At 40.2% G+C, this 17,980-nt stretch overlaps 1 long non-coding RNA gene across 1 annotated transcript in view; it reads right to left on the bottom strand.

Annotated features, from left to right (window-relative positions):
- The window catches only part of LOC105371460 (uncharacterized), a 32,490-nt gene that overhangs the window by 5,499 nt on the left and 9,011 nt on the right, over window positions 1-17,980 (bottom strand). The window contains exons 2-4 of the long non-coding RNA XR_922187.3: window positions 7,182-7,298; window positions 4,758-4,954; window positions 3,591-3,769 (exon numbers count right to left, since the gene is read on the bottom strand). This is a non-coding gene — a long non-coding RNA (uncharacterized LOC105371460). The remainder of the gene's footprint in view (window positions 1-3,590; window positions 3,770-4,757; window positions 4,955-7,181; window positions 7,299-17,980) is intronic.

Below are 17,980 nucleotides of genomic sequence, written 5' to 3'. Positions count from 1 at the left end.
GGTCCCAGTGCCTACTACACTGATTAGAACATTATAGATACTCTTCCAGGCATGGTGCCTCACGCCTATAATCCCAGCACTTTGGGTGGCTGAGGCAGATAGATCACCAGAGGTCAGGAGTTTGAGACCAGCCTGGCCAATATGGTGAAACCCTGTCTCTACTAAAAATACAAAAATTAACCAAGCTGGTGGCATGTGCCTATAATCCCAGCTACTCGGGAGGCTGAGGCAGGAGAATTGCTTGAACCTGAGAGATGGAGGTTGCAGTGAGCAGAGAACGCACCAATGCCCTCCAGCGTGGGTGACAAAGCAAGACTCCACCTCAAAAAAAAAAAAAAAAAGAAGAAGAACTCAATAAACATTTGTTAAACAGATAAATTTCCAAGCATATATCCTACATCTGCAACTATTGTAAGTGCTTTATAGCCATTTTCTTATTTAATCCTGGTATAGACTCTACAAGAAGCTGGGCACAGTGGCTCAGCCTGTAATCCCAGCACTTTGGGAGGCTGAGGCAGGCGGATCATGAGGTTAGGAGATCGAGACCATCCTGGCTAACACGGTGAAACCCCGTCTCTACTAAAAATACAAAATATTAGCCAGGCGTGGTGGCGGGTGCCTGTAGTCCCAGCTACTGGGGAGGCTGAGGCAGGAGAATGGCGTGAACCCGGGAGGTGGAGCTTGCAGTGAGCCGAGATCTCGCCACTGCACTCCAGCCTGGGTGACTGAGTGAGACTCCGTCTCAAAAAAAAAAAAAAAAAAAAAAAAAAAAAAAAAAAGACTCTACAGGAAACTTTCTTGGTTTTGTTCACTGCAGTCTTCGGCACCTAGAATAGTTCCTGGGAGAATTTAGGCACTCAATACATATTTTTGAGATGAAGGAAGTAGGATAGAGTGAGGGAAAGCAGAGCTTCAGCCCTGAAGAAACAGGAAACTTCCTTTCCTAGGAGAATCAAAACTAAAACATATAGATAGTGAGTGCAAGCATGTTTGTAGGGGGAGGATATGTGGAGAATGTTTCTGCATGTAGACACAGTATTTGGGGTAACATGACAATATCAAAAGCATAGCAAGCATTGCTGGATAAAATAGAAGCCTAGGGAGCTATGAACACTGTAGATATACTCTTTATATGTTCTACAGGTAACCAAAGAAGAAATGTGCCCTATAGGCTAAGGTCATATAGCAGAGTCAGAGAATCTAAAATTGGATCAAAGAGTCTCACACCACTTCTGTAGATCCACAGTGGATAGAGACCTACTATACACCATAAACTGAAATAGAAACTATATATATATCAAACAGCAATCTAGTCTAGATTTGACCTAGCAATTTCACACCTCTGATTTTATTTATTTGGGTATTTTCTTTTTTTCATAGTTAGTCTAGCTAAAGTTTTGCCAATTTTGTTTAACGTTTTAAAAGAAAACTTTTCATTTCATTGATTTTTGTACGATTTTTAGTCTCAATTTCATTTATTTCTGCTCCGATTATTACTATTTCTTTCCTTCTACTAATTTTGACTTTGGTTTGTTCTTGCTTTTGTAGTTCTCTAAGGTGCATCATTAGATTGTTTATTTGAAGTCTGACCTAGCAATTCCACTCCTGAGTACATACATAAATGCATGTCTACGTGTGTCAGGAGATATGCACAAGAATGTTCACAACTACCTTGTTTGTAATGACCCCAACCAAAAATGTTTTCATATATTAACCCAAGAGTAGTTGTACTTTTTAGAATTAAACCCCAAAATTTTCTTTAGTTTTGTGATTTTCTCATTGTTTTAATGGTTGCTTTGCCATCTTATCCTCTATGTCTCTTTAGCTTCACTGTATAATTTCCTTATGTTTATCTCTGCTATGGGTTGAATATGGCTTGTCCCCACCAAAACTCATGTTGAGACTTGGTCCCCAATGTGGCAGTGTTTTTAGGTAGCACCTTTAAGACATAATTTTAGAATTATAAAATCATTAAGATGGATTCATGTCTTTCTGATGAGACTAGGTTAGTTCTCGTGGAAATAGATTCGTTCCTGCAAGAGGAGGTTCATATAAGGCAAGGTTGCCTATCATGTTTTGCCCATTTTTGCACATGCCCAGTTCCCCTTCCATTTCTCCACCATGTTTTGACCCAGCACAAAGCACTCACCAGAAGCTCAGATGCAGCCACCCAATTTTGAACTTCCCACACTGTAGAACAGTGAGCTAAATAAACCTCTTTTCTGTATAAATTTGACAGTCTCAAGCATTCTGTTATAGCAACAAAAAAATGGACTAGGATAATCACTCAATGCATTTTTGAGTAGTTTCTTCAGAGCTATCTTCTACTTTGTTAAATTTACCATCAACTATCCCTGATCTGTTATTTATTTTTAACTTGTCCATTGATTTGTCAATATTTTTCACTTCTTGAAAATATGATTTTTTAAACATCTTTCTGTTATTTTTATCATACTGTCTTCTTTTTCACTATGGTTTCTGTTCCTTTCTTTTGGTCAATAAACATTTTAAGCATACTTACCTCTTTCATATTGCTTTATTACCCTTAATTATTGGGATGTGAATTATCTTGTTGTATCTGTTGACTCTTTTTCCCAATGTAACTTGTGCTTTCTATTGTGTCCTCATCTTCATAGATATTTTTATTAATGTTTTATCATTATCTTCCCTTGTGGAAGTACCATCCTTTAGGTTATGAAAAAGTCCATGTAGAACTACTTTGCAATTGCTTCTGCCAGGGCCCTAGGAATGACAATGGCTCTGGACCTGTTCTTGTGTTTCTCAGCTTTTGGTTCACGCCGTATGAAAACAACAAAATACTGAGGCCCCCAAACCAGTGCATATTACAGGCCTGGGGTTTTCATTTCTCCCAGATCCTTTTTTTTTTTTTTCTTTTTCATTAACCCAGAGCCCTAGCAATTTTTCTCATCACTTCCCAGGACCAGTGGGCAAAGGTTTTTTGTCCCTTTGTAATAGACTTTACACTTATTAGAGGATATAGTTTTAGGGGACCTCTTTTGCAGAGTGTCACCTCCCACTATCCCAAGGTAAAGTCTTCTGTCCCTTCATGGACATTAGAAACTCAGTCCCCAGCACCTAGGCAAAACCAGTACCAAGACACCGTGAGCTGCTGCTCTGTCTGCTCACTATTTAATACTTCTCTTTGTTATAGGAAGGCTCCCTTGAGCTCAGCTGTGTTGTTTTAAATCTTTAGATTACATTTCACTCAGTATTTACAAGTCTTTGAAGTATGCATTGGGATGGGTGGGCAGTCTCTATTATCTTACTCTGCCTTGTTGCCATGAATTGTCCACTATGATGTTTCATATTGTATTGTTTTGAGCACTTTGACTGAAGAAGAACATTTACAATTACAACCTTCCTAGAAGAGGCCCTACAGAATGAGGAAAGGTCTTAAATCATCAAAAGGAAGAACAATTTAAAAGACTAGCCAATATTTAAAGATCTGTCAGGAAGAAATGGGAAATCACTTTTCAGTTGCTTTGGTTAGTGACATTAAGCTCAATGTGTGAAAGTTATCAAAAGGCAAACTTTAGTGCAACTGAAAATTGTATAGCTGTTAGACTTACCCAATAAAGGATGGTCTGATTTTTGTGAACTCTGCCAGTAGTGATATCCATACTGGACCTGGATGATCATCTGCCAAATATGCTGTTGAAGAGATTACTGCATGGACGGGGGTCTTCCAATTCTGAAGTTCTTCCACTTTTTAACAAAAGTTTAATTTCATGGGCTCACCTTTCATGATCTATGGTTCAAATAAGATGGAAATCTAAGACATATCAGGACAATAACCACCAGTGAAATGGAACAAAGCTCATAGAGAACCCAAAAAATGGAGAAAAACTGGTTTTAATGGGTGCCTTCTCAGAAACTCCAATTTTTATTTCAAGGAGAGAAAGGAAGCACTTGTCATTTTGTCAACTTCCTTTTTCTACTCCATGACTCACAAATTTACAAAGCAAATGCCTCTGAAGAGTAAGTTTCATGTAATAGACACCTAGCTACACCTGCAGAGATTTTTTAAAAACTGTATGTTGCCTTATCTCTTGGATCTTTCATTCCTCTGGATTCCTTCTCCCCCATCACACTCTCATCCTCGTCCTCCTCTTCCTCCTCCTCCTTCTCCTCTTCTTCTTCCTCTTCTTCCTCCTCCTACTCCTTCTTCTCTCTCTCCCTATCCCTCTTCCACTCTCATTTACCTATCTCATTCTTCTCTCTTTCTATCTGCCCTTCATCTGCATCTGTATCCAGCCAGGTCATCCCATTTCTCCTTCCCTCTCCACATTCTTTTTCCCTCCACTTCTTTACTTCATTGTCTCATCCCTCTCTCAGCTCTTGACTAGGTAGTCACCCACATCTCAAATAGAAATGTGCCTATAGTATTCCACAGTGGCATCAAAATTGAGTTTCTATCTAGCTGGCTTCTCTGGCAGAGCCCTGGCCCTGACCCCTGTGGTCAGTTTCTGTTTCATCCACAGCCTACATCCACAGTGTAGGCTTCAGAGAAGATGAAATGTCAACCAAGGTTCAAATCAATGAGTGAAACTTGAGTTTAGGGAAGTGAATTTGCCTGTTCACTTTAAAGTGTATAACACTTTAATCGCCAATATTTCTCGAGCAGTTTCTATGTGCCAGCAATACATTAAGCAGTTTACATTTATTTTTCTCTTTTGATTCTCACAACAGCCTGACAAGTTAGGCACCATTATTAATCATATTTTAAAAAAACACACCTTAGAAGTGCAAAGTAACAGTTAGAGAATGGTAGCCATGGGACTGTAGCCTGGAACCAAGTTCTTGACTCTGAAACAATAAGCTTCCCACTAGGGAAGGGAAATGTGGAGAAGATGTTTCACAGGTCCTCTTTTCTATCTAGTGGTATGCTTGCAGCAGAAAAGGTCCAGATTATCCAAAGTGAGGCCAGACATCCCTGCAAACAATAATGACAGAGTTTTATTTTTCACAGTGACACTAAGAGAAATTGGGCTAGAAGATTAGCTTTAACTATATCTTTTTTAAAAGTGGAGACACTGTGGACTAAAAGAGGACTTTAAAACATGTTTTTTTTTTCCACTTTATGGGCAAGCCATTTAATCTCTTTGAGCCTCAGCTTTCTCATTTATGAAATCAGAATCTCATATGAGTCTTATGTAAGAGATTAGATAATGTGTATAAATCACCTGGAACATAGTAGATACTTGGTATTTTTTAGCTGAGTCTTAATCCAATTTCTCTTAGTAACACATTCCAGCTTCTCCAACCTACCCATTCCCATCTGCAGGCTAATTTCAAGTCACTCATCAGTCTCACGCCATTTAATCCAGGAACCTCTCTCATCAACCCCAGTCCTCACCCAATCTGAGCTAAGTGATAGTTCTGTTTTTCCATAGAATCATGTGCATGCCTCTATTACAGCTCTCATCACACTGCCACTATCTACCATCCTGTCTCCCTAACTAGTCTGTGAGTTCCTGGAGTATGGAGACTTCTCCATTTATCTCAATATCTTCAGTGCTAAGCACAGGGTCAGGCACATCTCAAGTACTCAGTAAATGTTTTCTAATTAAGCCCTACTTTTAAAATATGTTAAACTGTGGACCTAATACACTTTGGCTTCAATGGAAGTATGAGAGGAGTTGCCCAGATGAGCCAATAGCTATTGAGAGCCAAAGACTTAGTCACATGGTTCTCACTTAGGTTAGAAATCCTCAGAATGCAAATACTCCCTTAAAAATATTCCAGGCTTGGTCCATATTCTTCTTGGTTTTATACACTAATCATCTGTACCCTCGTTTTTCTTAGTATTCATCTTTAGATGCTAAAAATTCAAAATCTTTTAAGCCTGTGCTCAGCAGGTCAATTCCTTTTATCTAGCTCCCCAAATAAATATATAAAAATTCCCTCCCCTTCTTTTAGGGCTAGTCAATCTTCTACCAAGATCCTGCCTCCTTTCTCTTTCTAGCTCTGCTGTCCTTACTTTGTTTAAGCATGGATTTGCCCAATAATAAAACTATGTTTATTGTTTGGCTTTCAAGACATGTAATTCCTAATGGTTTCTGGCATTGTTTCAGCTGCGGCAGCTTAAAATTAAGCGTCTCCAGAAAATCAGCTGTAATGAATCTGAGATTCATTCCTGTCCTGGTATGTGGCTGGTAACTTTGAACAAGGTAGCCTGTGTAATTTTGAGTCCTTACTTTAAAATTGCATGACTTCATAGATTACAGCTATAATCTTGTCTATGTACAATTAGCCTTTGGAGATTTTTTTAAATGTAGAGGCTTTTGTTTTTTAAATATTATTGTTAGTACTTCATGTTTTTTTAATCTAATGCTAACAATAGCTTGCATTATTTTCTTCCAAATTATGTTGGCTTTATATTTCTCTATTTAAAGGCTTGCTTTGCACTATAACTTACTTTAACCTATAAAGTTTTGTAAGAATTTTCTTCCATTTGAAACCCCTCTCTTTTCCAACTGAATACTGAAAGAATTTAATGTAATCTATGAACTTGGGGCACCTGGCAAAATTATTGAAGAAGCACTGACACAACACCAATGCCTTCTGTGTCATGACTTGCCCTGCATGTTTTTTGCTGCTTCTTTCAAAGAAGGGGAAAGATCACGGAACTAATCTGTATTGAAAATCCTGTGTTCTTCTGACAACTAAGAGCACAAAAAATCTATTATTTTCCATTCAAAAAAGTATTCATTTATCCCCACCCTGTATTTGGTATCTTTAAACAGCTCCCTCACACTATAACACAACTAGCCTCCAATATTTCTACAATTCAATCTTTCAGCAGTCTTTGATAAAAAATTCTGTTTAAGTCCTTCATAAAACAAAAATTTGTATAAAATAAGTTCTCTGGGCATGAAGAAAAAAATTAACTTTTTAAAATGCAATAAATACCTAATGAACACTGAGTAAATCTTAAGTTGTTTTCCACTGACTAGATCTTAAGTTCTTTTTCCCCTGGGAAGAGGAAGTGCTTAGCCTGAGCTCTACTCCAGAGGCTGGGGACCTTCCATCTTGACATCCTGTCTCACCCCCAGAACTCTCATTTTAACTGCCTCCCTGTCCCTCACCATTTCTTTAAAGCTTTCCACCACAGAATCCCAACCACAGTCAAACAAGTCCTATTCTTTCCCCGGACTCACCTGTTCTTGACTCTAAACTTTGTCACTGGGCACATGTCTCCTCATTAGTCTTCATGAAGGCAGAGATGTTTTATCAGTTTTGTCCACTGCTATATCTTCCAACACTCAGAATAGTGCCTAGCATTATTGAATTAAGGAATAGTTGAATGCAATTATTACTTGGTGTTTAAGACCAAGTAATAATGTAATTATTGGTCTTAAACGCCAAGTAATAATTGCATTCAACTATTCATAAGTCAAAAATTGCACAAGTTTATCTCATTGAATAAAGAGTATATCTCAGGAAGTTCAGTGAAAATTAACCTAATGAATATCAAATGTTAGTTTCAGATTCACATTGCTATTTCAGGCTATTCTAGCTTGCCTTTCAGATTCACCTCCAATTGCAAAGTTTTATCTTCTCTTTGGGTTGTGTTACCTTATTGCTTCTCTGCCAAGTTGCTAACTATCTGGTAGCAAATACTCATCTGTAGAGAAAAAATTCCATATAAAAAAAACCTAGCGATTCATCTTTTTCTGTAGTTAAGAATTATCACCTAATATAATTGTTTGGTAACTGCCTGATTTTTTAAGCTTTATACTGTCAAGTTAAATCTATGAGAAGCTAAAATGATCATAAAGATATCACCCTCATTCAAAGCTCAGACCCAGCAAAATTGCTATATGAATAAAATATGTATACAAACTAATCTTTTTAAAAAACTTTTCCCAAGGCTGTATATGAATATAAAAACCCAGATTTGAATTATACATGCAAACTGTAAAAGCAGAGACACATGCTCCCTATTAAGTCTGTGTTTTAAAATATCCAGTTACCAATCAAGAAACCCCAGTAGATTCCAAAGAAGCATATGTAAGAAACCATGACAAGGTAAAAGATTATTATCTGGCAAGTAGTGCCTAGAATCAGGTCTGAGGGGGCCAGAAGGGACTATGAATCACAAGGTGAGAAAAGATAATTTGCAGCAAATTGGTAAGATATGTGGGAGGAGCTAAAGTAGTTGGGTCTGCCGGGTGAGGTGGCTCACACCTGTAATCCCAGCACTTTGGGAGGCCAAGGCAGGTGGGTCACCTGCGGTCAGGAGTTCTAGACCAGCCTGACCAACATGCCAAAACCCCGTCTCTACTAAAAATACAAAATTAGCCGGGCGTGGTGGTACATGCCTGTAATCCCAGCTACTCGGGAGGCTGAGGCAGGAGAATTGCTTGAATCCAGGAGACAGAGGTTGCAATGAGCTGAGATCGCACCATTGCACTCCAGCCTGGGCAACAAGAGTGAAACTCCATCTCCAAATAAATAAATAGATAAGTAAAATAAAGTAGTTAGGTCAGGTCATGAACAATAAGAGGACATTAGAGGCCTGTTTGTGTCTTTATTGTGGTGCTATCAACTGTGAAAAGCTGAGGCAAGCCTGAGAGCTTGTGAGAACTACAGGACCAGCCAGCAAGTCCTTGTTTCAGCACCAAATTTAATTTATACTGGCTGTGTTAACTTGCACAAGACCCCTACCTTCCTGAATCTGAATTTCCTCATTGGAAAATGGAGTCCATTAATGCCCCCTCACAGAGTTGTGGTACTTGGATTGATCACAGTGGTGCACATATTTACTACATTATTATGCGCTGGAGAGGAGCCAGGCCTACCCTATACCAGTTTTCTCTTCTTAATCACTGGCACCTCCTTTCCTACAGTTGTTGAAGCAAAAAACAGAATCGTTATGTCCTCCTTTCTTTTCTCCAGCTCACATCCATCCCATGAGGAAATCTATCAAATCCACCTTTAAAATATATCCAACAACATGCTACCACCGCTCACCACCTCTACTACAACTACCTGGGCCCCTATCACCAGGTTTCCTTTTTCTTGTTTTCACTCAGGCTATTACAAGAGCTTCCTCACTGGTCTCCCTCTCTGCCCTACCTTTGCATCCTACAGTTCTTAATCGTAACACAGAGAGAGCCTTTTAAAATATGTCAGGTCACACATAGGGTTCATGCCTGTAATCTTAGCATTTTGGGAGGCTGAGCGGGAGGATCACTTGAGCCCAGCAGTTCAAGACCAGCCTGGGTAACAAAGCAAAACACTATCTCTACAAAAAATTTAAAAATTAGCTGGGCATGGTGATGCGTGTCTTTGGTCCCAGCTACTCAGGAGGCTGAGGCAAGAGGACTGTTTAATCTGGGTAGATTGAGGCTGCAGTGAGCTATGATCATGCCACTACCCTCCAGCCTGGGTGACAGAGTGAGACCTTGTCTCAAAAAATAATTAAAAAAAAGAAACTAAATGTGTCACATCACATTATTCATATGCTGAGGCCCTTCCAGTGGCTCAGATCTCACTCAGAGCCCTTACAATGGCCCACAAGGCCTGTGGGATCGGGTTCCCTGCCATACCTCCCTGACCCAAATCTCCTCTTCACTAACTTGGTAACAATCACATTGAAATAGGAGTTCAGCAGGACTTGGTTTTTAAGACACAGGTCACAATGACCCCACTGATAAAACAACATACAGTAAAGAAGCCAGCCAAAATCAGCCAGAACCAAGATGGTGACGAAAGCGGCCTCTAGTCATCCTCACTCCTCATTATATGTTAATTATAATGTATCCGCATGCTAAAAGACACTCCCACCAGCTGCCAAGACAGTTTACAAATGCCAGGCAACATCCCAAAGTTATGGTGGAAAGATATGGTCGAAAAACGGAGGGAACCCTCATTCCAGGAATTCCGTGCCCCTTTCCTTTCCCAGAAAATTCATAAAGAGTCCACCTCTTGTTTAGCTATGATCAAAAATAACCGTGGAAATAGCCAACCAGCAGCTCTCAGGGCTACTCTGCCTATGGGGTAGCCACACTTTTTATTCCATTACTTTTTACTAAATTTGCTTTCACTTTACTCTGTTGGCTCAATCTTGAATTCTTTTCTGTGTGAAGCCAAGAAGCCATGTGGCCTCCCAGGCTGAGCCCCAGTTTTGAGGTTCACCCTGTGACAACATGTCCTACTGATGCCTTGATTTTAGCACAGTGAGACTCATTTCAGACTTCTTACCTCTAGAACTGTAAATTTGAGAAATTTCATTGTTTTAAGCCACTCAGTTTGTGCCTGCCATCAACACTGTCTCAAATTATTTATTCCTACACCTTATGGTCCATTGTAAATCACAAGCCTGCGAACCCAGAAAATCTTAGACAAGTCTCAGTTAATTTAGAAAGCTTATTTTGCCAAGGTTGAGGACACACGCCCATAACACAGCCTCAGGAAGTCCTGATGACATGTGCCCCAAATGGTCAGGGCACAGATTGGTTTTATACATTTTAGGGAGACATAAGACATCAATCAATATGTGTAAGAAGTACATTGGTTCACTCTGGAAAGGCGGGACAACTTGAAGCAAAGTCCGGAAGACTGAAGTCGGGAAGGAGCTTCCAGGTCACAGACAGGTGAGACACAGTTACATTTTGAGTTTCTGATTAGCCTTTCCAAAGGAGGCAAATCAGATATGCATCTATCTTAGTGAGCAGAGGGGTAACTTTGAATAGAATGGGAGGCGGGTTTGCCCTAAGCAGCTTCCAGCTGGAGTTTCCCTTAGTGATTTTGGGGTCCAAGATATTTTCCTTTCACAAGCACAATTCATGCTTCCTACTTTGGCAGCACATTAAAAGATATGCAACATCTTTACATGATTCACAACCTTAGTGCCAAACCACTTACACTATCCCTTTTTCCACTACAAACTTCAACTTTCTTTAGATTTGCACTACTCAATATCATAGCCATTAGCCACTTGTACAACTTTCTTCAGATCTGCATTATCAAATATGGCAGCCATTGGCACCAGGAATATGGCTAGCCTGCATTGACATGTGTTGTAAGTGTAGAATACATAGCAGATTTTGAAAACTTACATATATAAAGTAATGTAAGACACCTCATTAATAATTTTTTTTTTTTTGAGATGGAGTCTTGCTCTTGACATCCAGGCTGGAGTGCAGTGGCACAATCTCCACTCACTGCAACCTCCGCCTCCCAGGTTCAAGAGATTCTTCTGCCTCAGCCTCCTGAGTAGCTGGGACTACAGGCGCATGCCACCACGGCCAGCTAATTTTTTTTGTATTTTTATTAGAGACAGGGTTTCACCATATTGGTCAGGCTGGTCTCGAACTCCTGACCTTGTGATCCGCCTGCCTCAGCCTGCCAAATTGCTGGGATTACAGGCATTAGCTACCGCACCTGGCCCTCATTAATAATTTTTAAACTACTGATTACATGTAGAAATTAGTTTGGATATGCTGGGTTAAATATATTATTAAAATTAATTATTGCCAGGCACAATGGCCCATACCTGTAATTCCAGAATTTCGTGAGGCTGAGGCAAGTATTACTTGAGCCTGAGTCCAGGAGTTTGAGACCAGCCTATGCAACCCAGTGAGATCCTGTCTAAAAAAATAAAAATAAAATTGTACCTCGTTCTTTTTACCTTTTTAATATAGCTACTAGAAAAATTTCAGTTACACACATGGCTTGCATTATACTTCTCTTAGATAGTGCTATATATTCTATAGCCATTCTAACTTCTAAATTTGGGACTAATCATATTGTGCATAGCCTCACTCAACCCTCAGGCCTGACTCAACAATGTCTGGCTTCATTCCTTGACTGTTGCTGCCCATCCTGTGCCAGACTGATAAGACACTCCCATCAGCCACCCAGCAATAGGTACAGGAAACATAACCATGGACAACAGTGCTGCCTTAAGGCAATTGTGCTCTACTTATTGAAGCTCTACTATTCTATCTATAGTGTAGCTTTACAATTTTTACAACCCTGTTTTATCAGTCCCATTTGATGTTAAGTGTTTATATAAGGAAAAAAGCACTAAAAGAAGACAACTATTAGGAACACTTTGGTTCCTTCTCCCCAGCCTTGTTTAAACTTTTTAATTTACATCTTATTAAATGTAGCTGTATATATTAATATATTTTTATATATGTGCAGATAAAACTATTGGAAGGGAAATTTCTAAAATGTTAACAATTTCTAAAATGTTAACAGTGTTTTCTCTAGGTAAAGATAAAAACAGGTGACTTTTGTTTCATAATTTTATGATTTTTCTGAAATGTCTATAATATACATATATTGCTGTCATAATCCAAGGGTAAGAGACCTCAATTTATAATCAATCACCCAAGCCTGATAAAGCAGAGCAAGCAAGTCTGTTCCACGTCGCTATGAAGTCAAGAGAAAGAGTGGGTTTCCTGTGGGGTTTGCTCACCCAAGAACCAAATGAAACAAGTCAAGCTGCTGGCTGATTCTCTTTAACCATCCCAGTAGACTGTCTGCAAAGACTCTTAGTGGAAAGAGAAGGAGGTAGTCCAGGATTTTGAGGATGAAAATATAGATTCAATGAAGGTGAAGGGGGAATTTCCTGAGTAGATCTGCCTACATCAAGCAGCAGATGAAGTCATAGGTTCCAGAACACTATATCCCATCTTATTTAGGCACCAGCCTATTTAGGCACCAGCCACCTCACCCCAAACACACAAATGATCAGAAAAAAATGGGGTACTTGAGGAAAAGCAGCAGAATCCCCAAAGACTCCCAAGGACCAAGATCATTTCCCACTCTGCCCAAATATGCCTCCCTTGCCTCGATGTTTGTCCATGCTGTCAAGGTGCTGTAGTGTGAGTATGTAACCACTGGTATGTCTGACTGAGTGATCAAGGGTCACAACACAAGAAGAAAAAGGACAGGAGACAGCAGTATAATTTGTCCTCATTTAGCATGTCCATGTTCACATCTGCATCCCAACAACCCCTCCCTACTAATGAGGAACTCCAGGAATGTACCAGAAATGCCAGTGACTCCACCCCACCCTAACCCCACCATACCTTAGCCAACAGAACATAAGGAAAAGAGTAAGAGCTTTTTAGTCAAACAACGCTCAAACCTTGGTTCTTTCATCTCCTCCGTCACTAACAGCAGTGAGATTTTGAACAAGTTATTTGTTTCACAATCTATAAAATTGTGGTCAAAGTGCCTCCAGTGGGAGGGAGACCAGCCAGGACCCCTTTCCTAACAGGCAACTTTGTACATTTCAGTAATGCTCCCCAGGTACAGTAAATACACAGTCCAGGTAAAATGGACCTCCTTGTAGTCCCTTCTACCTCTCCCTCACCCTCCCTTATTCCTTTCCTCTCTAGACTCTCCTAATGGACTAAACATCCTCCTCATATTCATTTTGATCGGAAAAAAAAAGGGAACCGAAGCTGACCTTCTACATCTCCCCCTGCACACTGCTTCCAACACACACACCCCTCCCCCTGCCAAAGCTTGTTCACAACAATCCTGATCGCGTTCTTGCACCTTATCAGGATTCTCTGCACATGCTATGTTTCAAATGGACACATCATCTAGGAAAAGTTTTCACTGGGCCTAGAAAGAATCCTTAGACCCAAAAGAAAGAGGATAAAACAAATGAATAACTGGCAAAAGGAAAAATGTACGCTTGACTTCATAGCATCTCTGAAAAGAAAACTAAACTCAGAAGTACCATTTTGAGTAAAATTGTTCTTCCCTTTCTTGCTTCCCCTTCTGCTGTACAGTTTCTTTTCCCAACAATCTTTTCCTCAAATAGAGTTGTATGAGCCACCTGGGGAGAGTCAAAGGAAGGTTGGTGTGTAACCCCAGGGAATTCCCAATATGAGGGAATTCAAGTGAAAATGAAATGAACAGAGGGAAACTATTTAGTGACAAAGAATCTAAATTCCAGCTTCTGAATCCCAGAGCCATTTTTCAGACATTAATATGAAAAGAGAAAATACTGGCAATATTGAGGCCATCATAAAGAATATGCTTTTACAATGAATTAGGCAGAGGAACAAGGAGTGGTTTTTTGGTGTGCCTTGCTCCAGGGCACCTACATCTATCCGGGAAGACATGTCATAATTAATATAGCTTAAAGGGTGGCAGAAATTGAACAGGCAGTGAAATGAGGAAGATTTCTAGTGCCTCCTAAATGGGGACTTCACATTGTGGTGTCGTGATATGCTAGGAAGTAGTATGAATTCCCAACATTAAATATAATCAAATGAAAACACTACTCCCAAACTAAAGAAAGATGAGCCTCTTCACAAGTCTATTCTCTTCACAGGATGTAAGGATGACTCAGAGTTGATCATCCTTACAAAAATGGCCTACAATTCAATATCAGCAACAAGCAAGAAACTATTCTATTCAGAGAATATTCAGAGAAATTCCATTTTCAAGTGATACTAACTCAAGACCTACAGAGTCTTCATATTTATTTTAATTTCATAAAATAAGCCTAAGGCTGGAAGAAAAATATATAGACACTTCCGACAGATTTTGATACTAAAAGCAATCATCCATATCCAGCACCTTTCCATGTAGCCAGTGACGAGCAAGCTGGGTTTAACTAAGCAAAATGTATGAACATAAATGGTGGGGGAAAAACTCAGATCTGTGGAAAAATGATGGGGACTAATGGGGGACGGGAAGCACAGAGCTGTGAAAAAATGACGGGGAAGAGGGAAGCAAGAAGGTTTAAAGGGGTTTAGCAAAAACAAGAGCTTTACATTCACTCATCTACTCATACTGACTGTATGCCAGGTACTAGGAACACAATGCTGAATAGGACATATTCCATGTCTGCATGGAGATTACAACTAGTAAGGTGGATATACACCTAAGCCTGACATAATACAGCATAATTAAGTACTAAAGTCGGGGCAAACCAACTTGAGGAAAGACCCCTTAACCCATCATGGGGTGTGAGAGGTCACGAAAAGCATCCCAGAGTAAAGAAGGTCAGAAGCCAAGGCAAATGCCAAGGTGAAAGGCATTGTGAACAAATCTCCTTTCCTACTCACCTAATGTCCTTTTTACTTTCACTTATGGCCCAGACAAAAGGCGATGATCAAAAGAGGTGGGTAAACGGACCAGAGGATGAAACCAGCTGAAACCATGATGTTATAATCACACATACAACTATGTGAAAATTTGAGAATACAGGAGGGAGAGTGTAACTCTGAGACTGACAGAGGTGATGTTTAGGCCAAATAGTGGAGGTTGGGTAAAAAAAAAAATGGCAAGAGAATCGTAGTGGGAGACATTGACAGAGTATTCATGGCTGATCGATTTCATCAGCCCAAACAGAACTGTCACCTAGAGTCCACTGCTCAAATTGGCTCCTTTTATTTTTTCCTGGTAAACTAGCCAACATATGTGGAGTATGCTCAATTGCCCCTTCTAGAAGGCCTTAAAAAAAAAAGTGTTTTTTTTCTCTCTTCAGTATTTTATTTGATGTTTCTGTTAGATTTCTTATCCCTAAGCAATGGCAGAAAAATATGTTTGCCAATATACAATCAGCTCTGAGAGTCAAATGAAAACTGTCCTTCTTTACATGTATAGGTTTCTCCAGTGCTGCATGAGGGCGCAGTTGTGCTCAACTTTTTCTCAAGGTCAATACTACATTTATAGATTTCTTCACCATTGAGGATTTTGGTGTTGGATGAAATGAAGGCACCAAAAGATGCTTCACAGCATTGGACATAATATATGGGACTTCTCCTTCAAGTGGATTCTCTTGAAGCTGAGGAAGGACGGCACACTAAGTGAAGATCTTCCCACTTACTGCCTGCACAGACCCACTCCCCTGAAGAATGCTTCTGTGGAACAATCACATCTTAGGGGAAATCACTGACATATTCTTCTTGGTGAGTTGCCGTCTATCTTTCACTGTCTTCCTGTTGCTGAACAATTTACAGATTGGAGGATGTACAGCATTTATGGACCTTTCTTGTAATATTTCAGTATACTGTGATACCCTGGAAATGTCCTGCTAACCAAACCTGAGTAAAAAAAGAAAAAAAAATACATGTCTCAAATGTATATTAGTATTATGGGAATCCAACATTTTTGAGAATTCAAAACAAAGGAAGAAAACCAAAATGAGGTATAGCCAAATTTCCAACTTCCTTCCTTCCTTCTTTCTCTTTTTTTTTTTTTTTTTGGAGACAGTATCTCACTCTGTCGCCAAGGCTGGAGTGCAGTAGCATGATTATGGCTCTCTCTGCAGTCTTGACCTCCCAGACTCAAGCGATCCTCCCACCTCAGCCTCCCGAGTAGCTGGGACCACAGGTCCAGTCACCACCATGTCTGGCTAGTTTTTGTATTTTTTGTATAGATGGGGTTTCACCATTTTGCTCAGGCTGGTCTCAAACTCCTGGGTTCTGGTCAACTTTCATTCATCCATTATCACTCTCCACTTTCAACTATTACTCTACATATTTTTTAAATGAAAAATAGTATTGGTTTTATTGCATATTTCATGCTTTGAAAGAGATAATAAGCAGATTCTGGAAGTTCTTTGAAAATACAACCATGGTGTTTTTGAGAGCTAGACTAAAATATGACTTTAACATGATATACAAAAGAAATAGCTTGGGTCAGAACAAAGGGAAGGGGGCCTTAAGAATGGGAAGTGGAGTGTATAACAGAGAAAGATGTGAAGAAGCAAAATACTTTGGAATTAGCTGGGGTAGGTATGGGAAGGAGCAGAAGCACACACAGAAAGGTAAAAGATAAATCGATGTCATTCTGCAATGTTGCTCACCTGTATATCTGTGTTCTCTACAACTGAACTCTCAGCATCTAAGATTCTAACTAATGCATCCCCACCACAGAGCTCACAGACCTCTGCACACAGCCAGCACTAAAGAGTTTTTGAGGGCACAAGAAGTTTTACTCTCTCTTCCCCCTCTTTCACCATATATCTCCCTGACGACTTCTTCAAACCTAATACATCAGTTTCCTCTCTTTTTCCAATTTGTTTCACTTCCCACTCTCTGACCTAGAAGTCAACCCAGGGTTAGGTCCTCTGTTAAATGACAGGCTGTGGAGGCCAGAGACAAAATGGCAGGTCTGAGAGTTCCTATCTAAGGCCACCAGACTTCAAAGAAGCAAAGAGGCTACAGAGAGGTAGAACATAGAGGTGGAACCAGAAGAGACAAGGATCGGAAGAGAAGCAGAAATAAGTGAAATGAAGTAGGATGGTTCCGATCTGCTCGTGCCTAAAAACATTTACTGTGGGATCCTTTTCTTAGGGTCCTTGGCGTGACTCCTGGGGCAAGGGCAGAGTGTTAGAGGAGCCCTGTCTAGGACAAAAACAAGAAAAGGTACTCACGAGGGAGAGAAGGATGAAGATTCCAGGAACTGCGTGTGAGAAAGAGGACAGAAACAGAGTATTTAAGACTAGTCGGAGCTAGTATGAAATAATAAAGGGAATCTGTAGGTATTATAGAGGGAAGCCAAAGATGTGGGAGGAACTGAGCGTTAACGAAGGCAAGGCAGAAAGTGACCCTAGAAATGCTGTCGGGTTTCCAGTCCCTGCTCACACTTCATTCAATGTCTCATCCAAAAGAGAAACAGCAGAATTAAGCCACACCCACGTAGCTAGTCCACACTCGATTCCCCCGTGCAAGCAACTTTTTCTCAAATGATTTTCTCAAAAATCTTCGTGACTCAACTAGTCGCGAAGATTTCCTCTTAAAAGAACAAACTGCTACCACCCTGCAAAAACTACAACACCCATAGTGCCCCGCGCACAGCCCGAGTGACCCATTCTCTTCCGATTCCCACCAGCTAACGGTCTTAGCCAATTTCCTCGGCCGGGAAATGATTTGGAGCACATGCGCACTTCCCCTCCTTGTCCTGGGCTGGCCTCCAACTTGGAACGCCGGCGAACCGCCTGACCTCTTCCGGCGGCCTCAGCCTGGGA

This window comes from Homo sapiens, chromosome 1 (assembly GCF_000001405.40).
Source record: "Homo sapiens chromosome 1, GRCh38.p14 Primary Assembly".
NCBI classification, from domain to species: domain Eukaryota; kingdom Metazoa; phylum Chordata; class Mammalia; order Primates; family Hominidae; genus Homo; species Homo sapiens.
Note: the sequence above shows the minus strand (reverse complement) of the source record. Positions and strands in the feature narration are given on the sequence as shown.